Raw genomic sequence first — 18,018 nt, 5'->3', positions numbered from 1 at the left:
CCCTGTCTCTACTAAAAATCCAAAAATTAGCCAGGCGTGGTGACGCGTGCCTGTAATCCCAGCTACTCGGGAGGTTGAGGCAGGAGAATCGCTTGAGCCTGGGAGGCAGAAGTTGCAGGAGACGAGATCATGCCACTGCACTCCAGCCTGGCAACAGAGGGAGACTCTCTGAAACAAAAAAATCCCTTCAGTGCCTTGATCCTTCCAGATTCAGATCCAAGATAGATGACATTTGTCCCTCATCGGAGCCCGCACACCAAGATAAAGATTTCTTCTGGCCGGGCGCGGTGGTTCATGCCTGTAATCCCAGCACTTTGGGAGGCAGAGGAGGGCAGATCACCTGAGGTCAGGAATTTGAGACCAGCCTGGCCAACGTGTTCAAACCCTGTCTCCACTAAAAATACAAAAATGGCCCGGCATGGTGGCTCACGCCTGTAATCCCAGCTACTCGGGAGACTGAGGCAGGAGAATCGCTTGAACCCGGGAGGTGGAGGTTGCAGTGAGCAGAGATCGCGCTATTGCACTCCAGCCTGGGCAACAAGAGAGCGAAACTCCGTCTCAAAAAAAAAAACAAAAGAAGAAAAGATTTCTTCTGTGTGCATGGCTCAGCTCTGTGGTCCGCTAGGGTCTTTCCTCAATCCGCTTCCAATCTATGGAATCAGGAAAGACTGAACCAACCTCGATTTATTAATATTTTAGTATAACATAATACAGTGGTACTTATTATAGTATTGACCGTATATGCCCTTTTGCTCCTTGGAGGAAAGGCAATTAATAGCTATTATGTGAGTTAATAAAATAAGCCCAGGATTTATGAGTGTAACTAACCTGTTCCCATTGGTTTTCCTTCTCTCCTGCAGGCAGAGAGCTGATCAAAACAGCAAAAGCAAAGCAGTGCCCCGGCCCAGTTCTAAAGCCAACCTTCCTTAATCACCCAGACCCATCCCAGGTTAGGACATGCTGTGGATTCTCAGGTGACTCCATCTCAGGATACAGGGACTGAGAGGGTGTATGCAATATCTCAGACCCAGAAACTGTTGATTCTGTCTAAAAACACAGCAATAACCACATCCCACCCTCTTGATTTAAATGAAAGTGTTTGGGGGAATAAAAGATGAACCTTTTTTTTTTTTCTTTGTCAGATCTTGCGCTCATTTGGTTCTGGTGGGGAACAACAGCTGTGAGAGAACACGTGTATTCAAATAGAATTAATTCCCCTCTCTTATTCTCGCAGCTGAGCAGGGCTCAAGTGCCTCTCATCTGAAAGAGGTAATAAGATTTTGTCTGTCTCCTCATCTACCTTTTGCAAGTACACTGAACAAATTAGCTCTCGGGACTCTTCCAAATGGAGTTTTATGAGGGATTTGCTAAGGTAAACGTTTTAGACTTTGAACACAGTTCAGATTTCAGGGGCAGTACTGAAATCTGAACTGTGTTGCTAACTGCCCAGCCTTTCAACTCAAGACACAATAACTTTGAACTAAAATAATTATATTTTTGTTGTTTTCCACTCTGTCCCCCACGTCTATATCACCACCACCCCCAATCCCGCCCCCCAGGAGCTAACTCCTCCTTCCTGTCCCTGCAAGATCAAAACTCCTCCTGGAAGCCCCGCTAGCTCTGTCTGCTCGCCTTCGTGGCAGATATCGCTATTGTACTTTTATACTTATTTGTGTGATAAGTACCTCAATGTCCACTTCTTCCACGAGCCCCTGAGCCCCTGGAGGGCCTGGACCACACCTAGTTTTTCTCACTGTTACATCTCCCTTGCCAGACACATGGTAGGCGCTTAATAAGTATTTGGTGAACGAATGGCTTGTTTGGTGACAGTCCAAAGGGTGGGGGACAGAGGGAAAACTCCCTCCTATCGGGCCCCGGACGGGTGGCGCTGATGGAGAGGAGGCTAGGATAACGCCTCCAGGACCGAAGCGCGCACCCATAAGGCCCCTGCCAAAAAGACCTTCCTGAAGGCGGAGGAACTGCGAGAGTGCCTACGTTGGCCCAAGGCCTGACCGGACGATCCCGGGGACCCTCGCCCTAACCGGCCCCGACTCCCGGGCCCCAAACCCGGACTCGGCCCCGCCTGAAGCTCCGGATCCTGGGGCCCGTCCCTGGCTCCGCGTCGGCAGACCGTGGGCTCGCTCCTGGGCCTGCCTCAAACTCTCCGCAGGTAACGCCTCCCGAACTTGAGCCACGCTCCAATCCCCTCCTCAAACCCCTCCCCGTTTCTCACACCCTGGACCCCTCGCTCCGTCTCGGCCCCGCCCCAAGCCCAGCTCCCTCTCGGCCCCTGAGCCCAGCCCCGACCCGCCTCCCAGTCCCTGGGTCCCTCCCGACACCGGCCCCTCCCTAAGCTCCGCCTCCCAGGGCCCGCCTCCTGAGCGCAGCCAGCAGCCCGGACTCGGCCCCGCCTCCCGGACCCTGGGCCCCTCCCCACGTAGGCCCGTCCTAAGCTCCGCCTCCCAGAGTCCGAGCAGCGCCTGGCCACGTGCTACGACATAGTCAACGCCCCGCCCTGGCCCCGCCTCCTGAGCCGTTCTCCGGGTCTGGCCTTAGCCCCGCCCTAGGACCTGTCTCCTGGGCTCTGCTCCGAGTCTCGCCTCCTGAACCCAATCGTCCTTTACCCCCACCCTAACGCCCGCCTCCAGGACTCTTATCCTGCCCCCACGCAAGGCCCCGCCTCCAGGACGTCTCCAACCTGGATGTTTCCGAAGCCCCGCTTCCAGGATCGCCCTGTCCTGGCCCCGCCCCAGGACACGCCAACCTGAACTCTCCCCAGGACCTGCCCCAACGACGCTTCTCCTGGCCCTACCCCAGGCCTCGCCCTCAAGACGCTCATTCTGGCCCCACCCCAGGCCCCCGCCTCATAACGCTCATCCTGGCCCCGCCCTAGAGCCGCTCCCACGACTCTCATCCTAAGCCTACCCCCAGGCCCCGCCCCCTCTCTGCCCCCGCGCACTGCCCTGGGCCCGCCCCCTTTTCAGTCCAGGCTCGGCTTCCGCCCGGTCTCCCGGCAACGCTGCGGCCCCGCCCCCGTCATGGTGCCCGAGGAGAACGCGGGGACCGAACTCTTGCTGCAGAGTTTCGAGCGCCGCTTCCTGGCGGCGCGCGCACTGCGTTCCTTCCCCTGGCAGGTGGGCGGCGGGGCGAGCGGAGAGGCCCGCGGGGCTCGCGGGAGTCCAGGGGCAGACGGGATGGGTCTCCGTGCTGAAGCCTCCAGCGCTCCCGCCACGTGAATGCCTGGGCTCCCGCCGGTCAGGTCCGCGCGACCCGGTCCCCGTCCCTGGGGCCTGGCCAGAGTTGCTCGCACCCCTCCTGCCCCGCGAGCTGGCGGGAGAAGCTGGGGGCCTCTCCACCGTCTTGGGGGGCAGACGCGCACTCGTTGTGGGGTACAGTTCACGATCATTTTCACGACTTTTTAAAGACAGTAACCGTTCTGGTCACTGGGACAGAGCTGCCCTCGCCCATTCTAAAAAGTCAGCGCCCTCAGGACCACGGGTAACCACGTCCTCCTGAGCGCAGTGACCAGGTCACAGGCTGTCTCTCCTGCCTCAGTGTTCTCGTCTGTATGTCGAGCACTGCACAGAATCGGCTCATGCTCTGAGGTTCTCACGCCTGTGATGGAAGAGACAGAGAAGGGGGTGGCCTCTCGTCTCCCTGGGGACCTGCCATTCTCAGCACAGGCGCATGGCAGGCAGCAGCCTCCCTTCTGCCAGTAGAGGGGCTTAATGCACCCGGCCCCATTTGTAATTCATGTGCGGTGAGCTCACTGGGATGAGTGAGTTTGGATATATATTCCTCCCTGGGTCTGCCCCATTTTATGGGGTGTTGCTTAATCATTTGCGTTATTCCATTGATATGAAATATTTGCACTCAGAGATCATTTCCGGTCAGGAGAAATTTGTGCACTTTTAACCCAAAATAGAAACCTTCATAAAAGCATCATAGGTCTCCATTCAATATTGACTATAATTGTTCACATGCCCACGCTGAATGCTAACTTGGGCTCACCCTCAACACCCACGAGGTGGGTACTATTATTACCACTCACATTTGACCAGAGGGATTGTTTGATTAGGGTGCAGTAGTTGAGAGTTCAGACCCAGGAGACAGCCTGCCTGCTTCGAAACCTGGCCCAACCCCTGGCCCTGTGTGACCTTGGGCAAGTGACTGCATCTCTCTGTGCTGTTGTTTTCTTATTAATAAAATGGGGGATAGAATGATACCTACCTCTTAGGGTTGTTGTCAGGGTTGAGTACAAAAGCCTGTGGATCAGTGCCTGGCTCATGGTAAATGCATGTCAGTGTTAGATAGTGTTTTTATTCAGTCTCAAAATGTTTAATAAATGCCTTCTATGAGCCAGACACCATGGATCAGCAGTACCCGTGACAGATGAGGGTCTGCTTGCATGGGAGAGCCAGAGAATAAACAAAGAAATGAAGAAACAAGAAAAGACCAGATGAGAGTGGCTTTAAAGCCAATAAAACAGGGAAATGGTGAATGGAGCAACTGGGGAGAAGAGTCACCAAAGTCGGGGAATCAGGGAAGCCTTCCCCAAAGAGGTGGCATTTGAACTGGGGCCTGAGTGGTGAAGCAGCCAGCCATGGGAAGGGCTTGGGGGAACAGGATATGCACAGGTCCTGTGGTGGAAACAAGCCAGCTGTGGTTGAGGAACAACAGCAAGGCAGCCAGTGTGGCTGGAGTGGAGTGAGCAGGGTTGGCCAGGGGTGAGGGAGAACAGGCCAGAGAGAGGGATTAGGACCAGGTCTTGTAGGGCCTTTTACGGCAATGGAAGGAGCTCTGAAGCAATGAAGTGCCTTGCCCTGTGTCACATACCAGCCGAGACAGTCTACCTAATTCGGGAGCCAAAGTTCGCTGCTGGGCTTGAGGCCCCTGTAAAAGGACAATGTAACCCAGGCTGGTATGGGCACATTCTGCATTTCCACTTAGATGGCAAGCCCATCAAACCTTGGTGCCATGGCTGCCCTGGTAACCAGTGCAATCCTGGCTGACCAGTGCAACCAGGGAGCTGGCCCATGACCCAGGTGGCCTCTAAGTAGCCAGGACTAATGCGGCCAAGAGTCAGTCTTCTAGCCTTCTTCCTGTGACTCATCCAGGTGCACCCTGCGACATCTGAAGGTCAGGCTTTCAGCTGCTGTGGCTTCCACTTCCAACTGGCTCCACGTCCCCAGGGAGAGATCACACAGCGCTTTGCCAACACATTCTATTGCGTGTTTAATGTTCCTGTGAAAGCGCCCTTGAGATTTCTCTCTCTCCCCTCCACACAGAGCTTAGAAGCAAAGTTAAGAGACTCATCAGATTCTGAGCTTCTGCGGGATATTTTGCAGAATCCCAGATATTTGTAAGAATCCCAGAGTCCCTGGGACTCATGACCCTGCCTCCTGAATCTCTCCGGAAGACCTGAGAGAAGAACCACAGGTGTGCTTGTACCCTTTAAAAACACACCTGTTCAAAGAACATTGAACATTGAGTCAGCACTGCAGGTGGGTGTCGGCACCTCCGACAGCTCCAGCTCTTTCATTTTCTATCTAAGACTTAGACAAAGACATCAGAATATACAAAAATCTGCATGAGAGGGGGGAATCTAGGGAAAGTTTTTTAAACCATCTACAGCAAAAACAGAGATGACAGGTGCAAAACAGCTTCTAGCATTTGGTAGATGCTCAGAGACTTTCTTTTTTGCATTCATGAGACCTGTCCTGCCCACTCCTGTCTCTTCTAGACCTAAATGGGCCCTTACTTTGCCCAGGGTGGGGTTTGGACTCAAGAGCATCTGCATGCAGGTGAGAGGCAGGATCACCACCCCGCCCAGCCACAGCCTGACTTTGGCCTTGAGGGCCAAGTGCAGATCACCCTGCATCCTGGGTCTTCACCTTTGAAGGGCCATGAGCCCTTCTGAAAAGACAAAGCAATAGACTCCCTCCCAGAGAGAAGTGCACCAGAAGAATACATTTTCCATACAAACTCTGGAGGCAGACATCCTCCACCTCCACCCAGCCAGCCCATCCTAGGGGCCCCGGTGAAGAATTCTTGTGCTAGAGGTGAACCAAGATTATCCATGTGGAAAAGATGCAGCCACAGGAGGGAAGACTTTCGGGGCAATGCAGTAGGTCAGGGCTTCGAGCATGGAGATACCTGAAGTTATCTCGCACCCTGCTCTGAGTTTCACCCTGAGCCTCACTCTCGTAGGTGGTGAAGCATGAAATGTAGGGATAGCTGCTTTAAAACCCAGCACAAGGCTGGGTGCACTGGCTCACACCTGTAATCCCAGGACTTTGGGAAGCTGAAGTGGACGTATCCCCTAAGGTCAGGAGTTCAAGACCGGCCTGGCCAACATGGCAAAAACCCACCTCTACTAAAAATACAAAAATTAGCTGGGCATGGTGGTGCACGCCTATAGTCCCAGCTACTTGGGAGGCTGAGGCAGGAGAATCGCTTGAACCCAGGAGGCAGAGGCTGCGGTGAGCCAAGATTGGGCCACTGCACTCCAGCCTGGGCAACAGAGCGAGACTGTGTGTCAGAAAAAATGAAAAACCAGCACCAGCCTGAAGAGCCTGTGTATTGCGTGGGGTACTTTGCTGCCCTTGGGCAGAATCTGCATCCCTCCCAGCCAGCAGGCACTGCGGACCGTCTCCTCCCTCTCCCTCCAGGCTCCTGTTTTCCCACCGCCCCCCTCCTGCTGCAGCAGTCCCTCTGCCCTCCGTTCCAAGTGCCAGGCCGCGGCCACCTCAGAGCTTGCACCAGCTGTTGCCACTGCCTGGAACTTGCTCGTCCTGCACTCGGCTTCTCTCGACTTTAGCTGGAGTGTCACCCTGAGCGTCCCCTCCCCTCCATCCTGTCCCCAGGGACACACACTCCAAGAGAGCAGTTGCCAAGTGGGCCTTCCCGCCTCTTCCATAGAGCCAGACAGTTGGCGACTGTCCTTACTGCAAACCCTGGTTCACACTGGCACCCCTGGGAGGGAGGTGGTTTGGGCCCACGTGCCCTGTGTTCCTGCTCAGAATGGGCATTAGAAATGCTGCCATAGCCTGTGCCACTGCAGTGGAAGCATTTTTAGGAAACGGTTTATATCTTAAGACAAACTTCAGATGCATGGGGCCAGAACGCTGTGTCCATCTACATCTTTGCTGAGGGATCGGGTAGCCTGGAGTTTGCCCTCTGCTGTGTTGGCTTGAAGCTCATAGGGGACTTAAGACGGGCTCTCGAGCAACCAACGTTCTGTCCTTTGCCGTAGACTGTGAAGCATCCTGTGTGTGTGAAGCACCGGCTGTCAGTCAAGTATGCCCGGTGCTTTCTCTCAGAACTCACCAAAAAGGTCCGTTATGGGGAGTGTCCGCCCAGTAGCCAGACAGCATAGCCACCTGCGTGCTGGAGCCCCTGTCCTTCCCAGGCCCTGGGCCTGCTTTGCAAACAGCAGCATGACAGGGGCCTCCCCAGGCAACTGGCTGCAGCCACGTGTGACCCATGGGAGACAGTGCAGGGCAGGAAGAAGGGGAGGCCAGTGTCTCTCCCTCACTCTGCCTCCTGGGGTTTCCACAGCAGCTGCTTCTCTGGGGCCCCAGCTCCTAGCATATGGATTCTCATTCCTACCAGGCTGGTCCAGCCCACAGCACTGGAACCCTCACCCACACCCTCTGTCCTGCCCGCCGAAGGGTTTGGAGTTTCCTGCTCTTGTCTGTCTCTGGGTTGCCCCATGGGCCCCTGTTGGAAGGTTTAGCTCTTGCCATACCTTTGGAACTAGTTCCTCTGGTGAATTCTCTGCATTGATCCTGCTGGAATGAGCTCTTTCCTGACTGATGCAGGATGGATTTTATTTTTTACTTATTTTTTTGAGACAGAGTCTCACTGTGTTGCCCAGGCTGGATTACCGTGGCACAGTCTCGGCTCCCTGAAACCTCTGCCTCCTGGGTTCAAGCAACTCTCGTGCCTAGCCTCCTAAGAAGCTGGGACTACAGGCACATGCCACCATGCCTGGCTAATTTTTGTATTTTTGGTAGAGACAGAGTTTCACCATGTTGGCCAGGCTGATCTCGAACTCCTGACCTCAGGTGATCCACCTGCCTCGGCCTCCCAATGTGCTGGGATTACAGGCATGAGCCACCGCACCTGGCCTAGGATGGATTTTAAAGATGGGCCCGAAAGTGCAGGGTTTGACATAAGGATGTCGAGAGGCCATTCCTCAGTAGGCAGTAGCAGACCTATCTTAGTGAAAGGGCCACACTTTTAGCAAGTAAACAATCCCCTGCTTCTCCAATACCTGCTTTCTCCCTAATCCTCCCCAAAAGGGTGCATCTGTGGTCACCAGCAGGTCTGCCCTGTGCCACCAGGAGAGGGCAGCAGTCACCCAGTGTATATTGTTGCTGCCCTGTGAATCTTAAGATGGGGCCAGCCATGGAGAAGCAGCCTGCTGACAGCCACAGCCTGCAGCATGGGCCGCCCTCACAGTTCTGCCTGGGCTCACTTAAAAGCACCTTTTGTTTTCCTCCTCTCTGTCATGGTCATGTGGCAGCTCTCACGGAATCCTTGTCTCCTGCCCTAGACTACACCTAACCCTACCCTCTCAACACCTCTCGTTGAAGGCCCTCCCATCCAGGTTTCCCTACCAAGTGAATTTTTTTTTTAGAGACAAGGTCTCTTGCCCAGGCTGTCCTCGAACTCCTGGGCTCAAGCAGTCCTCCCATGTCAGCCTCTAGAGTAGCTGGGACTATTCGGCACACACCACCATGCCCAATGAAGTGAATATTTTACATGCCAGCTGGCTGGTATTACACCATTCCATCCCAAATCTCCCCTCCAAACTTGGTGAAAATCATCTGACCATTTTTACAGATTAGAACGAAAGCAAACAAGCTCTCACTCTGTCTGACCCCAGCACGAGGCTGTCCACACAGAGCTTTTGGACAAGCTGTACGAGGACCTGGCAGAGACCCTGATGGCCAAGGAGTCCACCCAGGGCCACCCGAGCTATTTGCTGGTATGAGAAGGGCACCCTCCTCCCCCTCACAGCCCAGATACCCTTCCTGCACAAAGTGAAAACGTGGGTGTGGGTTCAAATCCTGACTCACCCATTCTGCAGTCTTAGACATGAGGTCCGTCAACCTTCTTTAGCCTCAGTTTCCCTGTCTGTAAATCAAGCACTTCAACAACAACAGCATGTCTCATGGGGTTGTTGGGCATTTGTCCAATAGGTGACACACTCTACCTGCTTCACAAGGACCTGGTGTCCAGTCCTCAAAGAATACTTGACAGGTCCTGGTGTGGTGGTTCACACCTGTAATCCCAGCACTTTGGGAGGCTGAGGTGGGTGGATCCGAGGTCAGGAGTTCAAGAGCAGCCTGGCCAATATGGTGAAACCCTGTCTCTACTAAAAATACAAAAATCAGGCCGGGCGTGGTGGCTCATGCCTGTAATCCCAGCACTTTGGGAGGCTGAGGCAGGTGGATGACCTGAGGTCAGGAGTTTGAGACCAGCCTGGCCAACATGGTGAAACTCTGTCTTTACTAAAAATACAAAAATTAGCGGGTGTGGTAGTAGGTGCCTCTAATCCCAGCTACTCGGGAGGCTGAGGCAGGAGAATCTCTTGAACCCAGGAGGTGGAGGTTGTAGTGAGCCAAGATCACGCCATTGCACTCCTGCCTGGGCAACGAGAGGGAAACTCTGTCTCAAAAAAAAGTGGAAAAATTAGCCACACATGGTGGCACATGCCTGTAGTTGCACCTACTTGGGCAGCTGAGGCAGGAGAATTGCTTGAACCCAGGAGGCAGAGGTTGCAGTGAGCCAAGATTGTGCCACTGACTCCAGCCTGGGTGACAGAGCTCAAAAGAAAATAAGATAAAACATAGATACAGAAAACCACAAAGGAAAAACATAGCATATTGAATCATCACAAGGCAGCCACCCCTTCATAGCCACACCTGGCCCCTGGCCACCACTGACCTGTGCTCCATCACCAGAATTCCGTTGTCTCAGGAATGTTCGATGAATGGAATCCTGTGTGGCCTGAGATGAGTGTCTTTCATGCCACGTGACACCCTTGAGGCCCGTGCAAGCTGTTGGCATGTCAACAGTTAGCTGCTTCTCATTGCTGAGTGGCGATTGGTCCTGTCATGGTTTATTCAGCCATGTGGTGGATGGCTACTTGTCTTCTAAGCCACTTGCCTTCTGATTGCTGGACTGACTCTCTCGCCCTCTCTTGGTGCAGCCCTCGGGAGGCTCAGTCACACTCTCCGAGAGCACAGCCATCATCTCCCATGGCATCACAGGCCTGGTCACATGAGATGCTGCCCTCTACCTGGCAGAATGGGCCATCGAGAACCCGGCAGCCTTCTCTCATAGGTGACCTCGGGGCGCACGGCAGGACACCGAGGCAGGCTCACCCTGGTGCAGTTACAGACATGGTCCCCTTTCCTCCCGCCAGGACTGTCCTAGAGCTTGGCAGTGGCGCCAGCCTCACAGGCCTGGCCATCTGCAAGATGTGCCGCCTCCAGGCATACATCTTCAGCGACTGTCACAGCCAGGTCCTCGAGAAGCTCCGAGGGAATGTCCTTCTCAATGGCCTCTCATTAGAGGCAGACATCTCTGCCAACTTAGACAGCCCCAGGGTGACAGTGGCCCAGCTGGACTGGGACGTCGCGACGGTCCATCAGCTCTCTGCCATCCAGCCAGATGTTGTCATTGCAGCAGGCAATGCCCAGCCCCGGGCACTCTGTGCAGGCGGTGTCCTTGCAGCTCTACCCAGCTCTGGGCTCTGGGAAAAGGGAACAATGGACGCTGTCGGGCATGGACATGATGGGGCTTCCAGAAGAGTTACTCTGGGCCTCCAGGGTGACATCAAAGGACAGGGGTGCCTCTTAAGGTGACCTTCCAGCCACAGCCCTCTTGTTGGAGACAGGCATACTCCCATTACAGTCATCACCACATGGCTCTGTCCCAGAGCCATGCCTCTGTCTTTCAGAGACCACAGGAGGAAAACAACCACTTCTGGGATGAGGACAGGGCCCTTGAGAGAAGGTGGTGTTTGGCTGGGCCACCGAAAACCCCTCGCCCCTGCCAGCACACTCGGTCTCCTCTCTGGTTGAACAGAGCTCTGCCTGTGGTCCTGGGTCCCAGCCCTGAAACCCACAGGTCCAGCGGTGGCCAGGGACACAGGCCCACCCCTGCAAGCCAGCAGACAAATCGGCAGACACCTGAAACACGAAGTTCATGGCAGGGTCAGGCTTTGTGTCATTCACAGCCCTCTAGATAGGCCGAGAACCAGAGCTCATTTTTTAAGGAACACCAGTGAGTCTGGAGATTTTTTTCTTTTGCTTCGGTCTTTTGCAGCTTTCTCTACTAAGGGTTCTCCTTTTTCACCCAAGCAATTGCCTTTCCATCTAATGGCCCAAATGGTCAAATGGCATCTACTAGTCTCATATGACTGCTGCCTCTCTGGCCTCGCCCTGCTGCTGAGGTCAGCATGACCTGGAACTGTCCGCTGGTCCCTTTCAGTAACCTGAAGCTTTCACCGTAGACGTGCTGTATTGCCCAGAATCCATCGTGTCGCTGGTCGCGGTCCTGCGGAGGCTGGCTGCCTACCGGGAGCACCAGCGGGCTCCTCAAGTCTACGTGGCCCTTATCGTCCGCAACCCAGAGACGTGCCAGCTGTTCACCACCGAGCTATGTGAGCCCACACGCCCACCCGGGCCTGCATGGTCCCCGAGCTGTCCCTGCGGGACTCCAGTGGAAGTGAAAGAACTGGGGGCCGAGGAAAAGCTAGGATGCCCCACACTCCCACACCATGCGGGGAACTAGGGCAGAGGCCGGTGAGCAGGGTGGGCCTGGGGCGTGGGAGCTTGCGGCAGGAGGAGGGCAGCTCAGCACAGGGAGGGAGGATCTGAGCCCAGCAGCCCTACTGTGTGCTTCAGAGCAGGGTTCCCTAAGCCCTTGGGCGTCGGTTTCCTCATCTATAAAATGGAGGTGGTGGGAGGGGCAGTCGGGGTCAGGGCTGGACACAGCTGTGGCCTGCAGGACGCTGGAGCACAGGCTGTACAGGCGGATCCACCACGCCACTGTCCTGAGCACCCAGTTGATGGAAGACGAGCAGGGTGACTATAGAGAAGGGGAATTGTCCCCGTAGTGGGCCAGCCACTGTCCTCAGACCTGACATTTGTCAGCCCCCAGCACCTGTGAGAGTGTGCTATCATTGTCCCATCTCACCGACAAAGACACTAGGACACACAGAGGCCAAGCAACCCCTGAGCTCCCACAGACTGCAGCTCGGCCACCTGGCTCTCGTGCCTCCACACTACACCCAAGCCCCCCATTGCCACCAGCCTTTGCCCCAGATCACCCTGAGCACAGCCCCTCCTGGCAGCCATGTGCACAGATGCACGCGCAGCAGCCTCTGCCTGCACACAGAGACGTGGGTCCAATGCCTGTCCACGTGGGGCAGCGCGTTAACTACAGAGCCAACAAACAAGCCAGCACACGAAGGCATACTGGGTTCCACGACAAAGTCCTGCACAACCTCGCACAGGAGGCTGGCCGGGCGCGGGGCTCAGGCCTGTCAACCCAGCACTTTAGGAGGCTAAGGCAGGGGGACTTCTTGACACCACGATTTCAAGACCAACCTGGGCAACATAGTGGGACCCCATCTCCACAAAACATTCAGAAACTAGCCGGGCATGGTTGCGCACACCTGTAGTCCCAGCTACTCGGGAGGCTGAGGTGGGAGGATAGCTTGAGCCCAGGAGGTGGAGGCTGCAGTGAGCCCTGATCTCACCACTGCACTCTAGCCTGGGCAACAGAGCAAGACCCTGTCTCAAAAAGGCAAAAAAAAAAAAAAAAAAAGGAAGTCTTTCTTCAGATACTTATGTGAAAAAATAACTGCAATATCTTTGAAGTGAAAAAAACAGTGCCAAGCAGAACACATAGTATAAGCCCCCACCCACCTTTTTTTTTTTTTTTTTTTTTTTTTTTTTTGGAGACAGTCTGGCTTTGTATTGCCCAGGCTGGAGTGCAGTGGTGCCACGGCCCACTGCAACCTCCCACCTCCCAGGTTCAAGCTATCCTCCCATCTCAGCCTCCTGAGTAGCTGGGACTACAGGTGCGTGCTACCACACCTGGCTAATGTTTGTATTTTTTGTAGAGTCGAGGTGTCGCCATGTTGGCCAGGCTGGTCTTGAACTCCTGACCTCAAGCGATCTGCTGCCTCAGCCTCCCAAAGTGTTAGGATTACAGGCGTGAGCTACTGCGCCCAGCCCCATTTTTGTTTAAAAAATAATAATAATCACCCACACATGTTTATGAGTACCTATATTCCCAACTACTCAGGAGGCTGAGGCAGGAGGATGGCTTAAGCCCAGGAGTTTGTGGCCCCCTTGAGCAACATAGCAAGACTTCATCTCAAAAAAAAAGTATCACAATAATCATTTTCACATAAGTATACCTATTGGGGAAAACCTAGAATATATATGTAGCAGGCTCGTCCAATCTGTGGCCCAACACAAATCTGTAAACTTTCTTAAAACAGTACGAGGTTTTTTTGTGATTTTTTTTTCTTTTAGCTCATCAGCTATTGCGAGCATTAGTGTATTTTATGTGTGGCCCAAGGCGATTCTTCTTCTTCCAATGTGGTGCAGGGAGGCCAAAAGATTGGACATCCCTGATATACACATTAACAGGTGCCATCCTTGGATGGCAGGATTATAGAGACTTCTACACGTTCATGTCTGTACTACTTTATTTTTATAAATACACATTTTCCACTCGTAACAAAAAACTGTGATTGAAAATCATCCCGTGTCACAGTGTCTCACGCCTGTAATCCCAACACTGTAAGAGGCAGAGGATTTGGGAGGCTGAGGTGAGCGGATCACTTGAGGTCAAGAGTTCAAGACCAGCCTGGCCAACACGGTGAAACCCCATCTCTACTAAAAACACAAAAATTAGCCACGCGTGGCGGTGCACGCCTATAATCCCAGCTACTCGGGAGACTGAGGCAGGAGAATCACTTGAACCTGGGATGCATTGCAGTGAGCTGAGATTGCACCACTGCACTCCAGCCTTGGGAACAGAGTAAAACTCTGTCTAAAAAAAAAATAATAAAAGAGTCTGAGGCAGGAGCATCACTTGAGGCCATGCATTCAGGACCCCATCTCTACAAAATAAAAAAATTACTAGCATGGTGGCATGCACCTGTCATCCCAGCTACTCAGGAAGTGGGAGGATTGCTAGAGCCCAGGAGTCGAGGCTGTAGTGAGCAATGACTGTGCCACTGCACTCCAGCCTGAGTGACAGAACAAGATCGTATCTCAAAAAAAAAAAAAAAAAGAAAAGAATCATTCTGGCTAACGGCTCTTCAGACATCTGTGCTTATGAGAACACCAGCCCCTTCTAAGCTGTGTGTGTGTGTGTGTGTGTGTGTGTGTGTGTGTGTGTGTGATTTTGTTTTTTTTTTTTGAGATGGAGTCTCACTCTGTCACTCAGGCTCGAGTGCAGTGGCGCAATCTCTGCTCACTGCAACCTCTGCCTCCTGGGTTCAAGCAATTCTCCTGCCTCAGCCTCCCAAGTAGCTGGGATTACAGGCACCCGCCATTGTGCCTGCCTAATTTTTGTATTTTTGTAGAGATGGGGTTTCACCATGTTGGCCAGGCTGGTCTCGAACTCCTGATCTCAAGTGATCCACCCGCCTTGGCCGGCCTCCCAAAGTGTTGGGATTACAGGCGTGAACCACTGTGCCTGGCCGCTTTCTAAGCTTTGTGAAGAGTGAGTTGACTGAGCAGCCAGGTAAGTGTGGGTTCAGATCTCTGCGTCTGTCCCGCTGTGCCAAGTGCTGGGCAGACGCGGGCAGAGACTGGACAGCGGCACGGTGCCTGCTGCTAGCCATTTCTATGCAAAACCAGATTTCTGGTCCCATCCTGGAGGCCAATTCTAGGCACCTGGGTGGGCCTGAGAACCTGTGAACCAAGTAAACTGACTTGTACACGCCCCCACCCCGCCAGGCCTGTCCTAGCAGCCCCACACAATACGCTCATGTCCTGTCCCCAAACACTGCCATCTTCAAACACATGTCCTCTGTTTCCAGGCCGGGCCGGGATCAGATGGGAAGTGGAACCTCGTCATGACCAGAAACTGTTTCCCTACGAAGAGCACTTGGAGATGGCAATGCTGAACCTCACACTGTAGGACTCACACACGACTCCAACGGGATTGTGAGAATCAAGTCACTCTCGTGGGAAGAGTTTTTATATGGGAAAGCGGATAAAACTTTCATTGGACTGGAATGTTTGGAGAATGTTAATTTCCAAATCAGGAACCACAAACTGCCCTCTGATAAGACATCGGCTATCTAAGCTTGTGGGTGCTCCCTTTCTGCCAGCAGTTCTGGTTCTTAAGAAAATCGCCATCAATCAGACATGAAAACTCTGGCTCCAAAAATAGCATTTTCTTTGTGCAAATAAAAACGTGTGTATCAAGTATGATGTTCCCCCCAACGTGGACACACTCGGTTCCTCACAAAGCCAAGCCCGCTGCAGCTGCCACATCTGTGGACACACTCGGTTCCTCACAAAGCCAAGCCCGCTGCAGCTGCCACATCGGTGGACACACTCGGTTCCTCACAAAGCCAAGCCCGCTGCAGCTGCCACATCCCTGGACACACTCGGTTCCTCACAAAGCCAAGCCCACTGCAGCTGCCACATCCCTGGACACACTCGGTTCCTCACAAAGCCAAGCCCGCTGCAGCTGCCACATCGGTGGACACACTCGGTTCTTCACAAAGCCAAGCCCGCTGCAGCTGCCACATCGGTGGACACACTCGATTCCTCACAAAGCCAAGCCCACTGCAGCTGCCACATCCCTGGACACACTCGGTTCTTCACAAAGCCAAGCCCGCTGCAGCTGCCACATCCCTGGACACACTCGGTTCTTCACAAAGCCAAGCCCGCTGCAGCTGCCACATCCCTGGACACACTCGGTTCCTCACAAAGCCAAGCCCGCTGCAGCTGCCACATCCCTGGACACACTCGGTTCCTCACAAAGCCAAGCCCGCTGCAGCTGCCACATCGGTGGACACACTCGGTTCTTCACAAAGCCAAGCCCGCTGCAGCTGTCACATCGGTGGACACACTCGGTTCTTCACAAAGCCAAGCCCGCTGCAGCTGCCACATCGGTGGACACACTCGATTCCTCACAAAGCCAAGCCCACTGCAGCTGCCACATCCCTGGACACACTCGGTTCTTCACAAAGCCAAGCCCGCTGCAGCTGCCACATCCCTGGACACACTCGGTTCTTCACAAAGCCAAGCCCGCTGCAGCTGCCACATCCCTGGGCTTATGGTGCAGCAGGTGCTTTTTTCAAGACAGGAATCAAAATGTTAGGAACACGGCAGAAAGGTGACACCTGGAGACCAAACGCAGGATGAGGAGTACTGCAGAGGTCACAGGGAAGTCACAGAACAGTAATACGCTAGCAGGGGCATGGGGCGTGAAGAACAGAAGAAGAGAGGAAGTGTTTCCGAGCCTCCAGAAAAGAAATCAGAGCCAAGCACAGCTTCCCGGGTCACAGAACCAATTCATTCACCAGGTGGCACTACTGCCATCATTTCAGCTTCTGGCCACTGGGAGGCGCTGCTCGAAAGGATTTGCCCTGAGACTCTGAGAAGAAGCTGTGGGAAGGACAGCAGGGGTCCCGGGGTTTTAGCCTCTGGCCCAGGAGTTATGTGTCCATAACCAAAGGGAGCACAGTCTGCACCCAGCTCTAATCCCATCGGAGCTGCTGCGACTCCCGCAGGTTCTTCCGGAACTGGTTTAGCTTGCCCGCAGGATCAGGAAAGTTTGAGAAAAGCACCTGCAAAAAAATAAAGAGCAGAGCTTACCTCATTGCCTGTCCCCACCCCATCCCATGTCACCACCTGGCTGACCCCAGGTCCCCTACCCAACAACAACCCCTCCCAAGTTCCTAACTCCCTCACTTGGACTCGAGACTCTTCATGCCCCAGCAGCGCTCTGCCTCCAACTTGACATCATGCTTTCTGGAAACTTCCCCGTATGTCCCACTTTCCCACACTTGGTGCCCTGGAGCACCTCCTGGCCTCTACATGCTGTATGTTCCCCTGCGAGCACCCTCCTCTTGGCCTCCGGCCAAGTCCCACCCATCTGTGGGTAACAAGGGGGTGTCGGTGTTCTTTTCAGCCTTGCTAAACTGTCTGAATCAAGGATCACAAACTACAGCCTGCAGGCCAAATCCAGCCCACAGCCTGTGTTTGTAAATAAAGTTTTATTCGAACAAAGCCACACCCCTTAATCGACAGATGATCTGTGGCTACTTTCACACCACAACAGAGTACCATGGTTCTGACAGAGACTGGGGGACCCAGTCTAAATGACTTCTGACCTGGACCTTTACTGAAAATCCTGCCAATCATTCTGTTGGCAAGAATGATGTATTACTTTTAGCAATAAGAAACAAGTAACCTTTGCAGAATTCCACCCATCTTTCAAGGCTGGTCCCAGAAGCTCCCTTTGCCCACGCACCTACCTGACCCTGATCACTTCCTAAACTGCAGCCCGGCCCACCCGGCTCCAGCATCATTTGTGGAATGTCAGCTCCATAAATCCAGAGGGCAGGTGGGGGTGTGTCCTAACTTTCCCGAGCTTACTGTACCGAAACGGGACAGCAGAGTGGGCCGGACTCTGTGACCTCTGCTCCCTCCCTAGCTTTTCCGCCAGACCCCACATGGTCCCACCCTGGCTGTGGGAAGCAGGGATCAGGGAGCGTGGCTCGGTGCCAGCCTCCAGAACCCTCCCCACCCTGGCGTGGTGGCAGATGTGGCTACCTGCAGCTGAGCTGCCAGTTCCTCTGAGTCCTCAAAGACCAGGCCATTTTCTTCATGTTTCACCAGCTCATGTAAACTGCAGAGAGAACCAAGGGAGCCTGAGAGCTGCCTGGAGAAGACACCAGACCCCTGGGGTGCCCACCTGGGCTCCCCCCAACAACCCATGCTCAAGCCAGGCTGG

The 18,018-nt window shown here is 54.0% G+C and overlaps 2 pseudogenes across 1 annotated transcript in view, besides 5 other annotated features; one reads left to right on the top strand and one right to left on the bottom strand.

Annotated features, from left to right (window-relative positions):
• Positions 2,247 to 2,456: a silencer, noted in NCBI's record as "silent region_3079". NCBI's record gives its function as "represses an Ori minimal core promoter by ATAC-STARR-seq in GM12878 lymphoblastoid cells {active_cell/tissue: GM12878}" and the evidence as "EXISTENCE:reporter gene assay evidence [ECO:0000049][PMID:35858748]".
• Positions 2,957 to 3,096: a silencer, noted in NCBI's record as "silent region_3078". NCBI's record gives its function as "represses an Ori minimal core promoter by ATAC-STARR-seq in GM12878 lymphoblastoid cells {active_cell/tissue: GM12878}" and the evidence as "EXISTENCE:reporter gene assay evidence [ECO:0000049][PMID:35858748]".
• Positions 2,983 to 17,311, top strand: FAM86GP (family with sequence similarity 86 member G, pseudogene; annotated as a pseudogene).
• Positions 3,127 to 3,266: a silencer, noted in NCBI's record as "silent region_3077". NCBI's record gives its function as "represses an Ori minimal core promoter by ATAC-STARR-seq in GM12878 lymphoblastoid cells {active_cell/tissue: GM12878}" and the evidence as "EXISTENCE:reporter gene assay evidence [ECO:0000049][PMID:35858748]".
• Positions 15,248 to 15,748: an enhancer, noted in NCBI's record as "H3K4me1 hESC enhancer chr11:3431017-3431517 (GRCh37/hg19 assembly coordinates)". NCBI's record gives its function as "activates a minimal SCP1, AML or CMV promoter by ChIP-STARR-seq in naive H9 embryonic stem cells {active_cell/tissue: H9 hESC(naive)}" and the evidence as "EXISTENCE:reporter gene assay evidence [ECO:0000049][PMID:30033119]".
• Positions 15,749 to 16,249: an enhancer, noted in NCBI's record as "H3K4me1 hESC enhancer chr11:3430516-3431016 (GRCh37/hg19 assembly coordinates)". NCBI's record gives its function as "activates a minimal SCP1, AML or CMV promoter by ChIP-STARR-seq in naive H9 embryonic stem cells {active_cell/tissue: H9 hESC(naive)}" and the evidence as "EXISTENCE:reporter gene assay evidence [ECO:0000049][PMID:30033119]".
• The window catches only part of TSSC2 (tumor suppressing subtransferable candidate 2 (pseudogene)), a 28,188-nt pseudogene continuing 26,556 nt past the window's right edge, over positions 16,387 to 18,018 (bottom strand). The window contains exons 10-11 of the transcript NR_024248.1: positions 17,838 to 17,913; positions 16,387 to 16,849 (exon numbers count right to left, since the gene is read on the bottom strand). The product of NR_024248.1 is annotated as a tumor suppressing subtransferable candidate 2 (pseudogene) (transcript). The remainder of the gene's footprint in view (positions 16,850 to 17,837; positions 17,914 to 18,018) is intronic.

Source organism: Homo sapiens, chromosome 11, assembly GCF_000001405.40.
Source record: "Homo sapiens chromosome 11, GRCh38.p14 Primary Assembly".
NCBI classification, from domain to species: Eukaryota; Metazoa; Chordata; class Mammalia; order Primates; family Hominidae; genus Homo; species Homo sapiens.
Note: the sequence above shows the minus strand (reverse complement) of the source record. Positions and strands in the feature narration are given on the sequence as shown.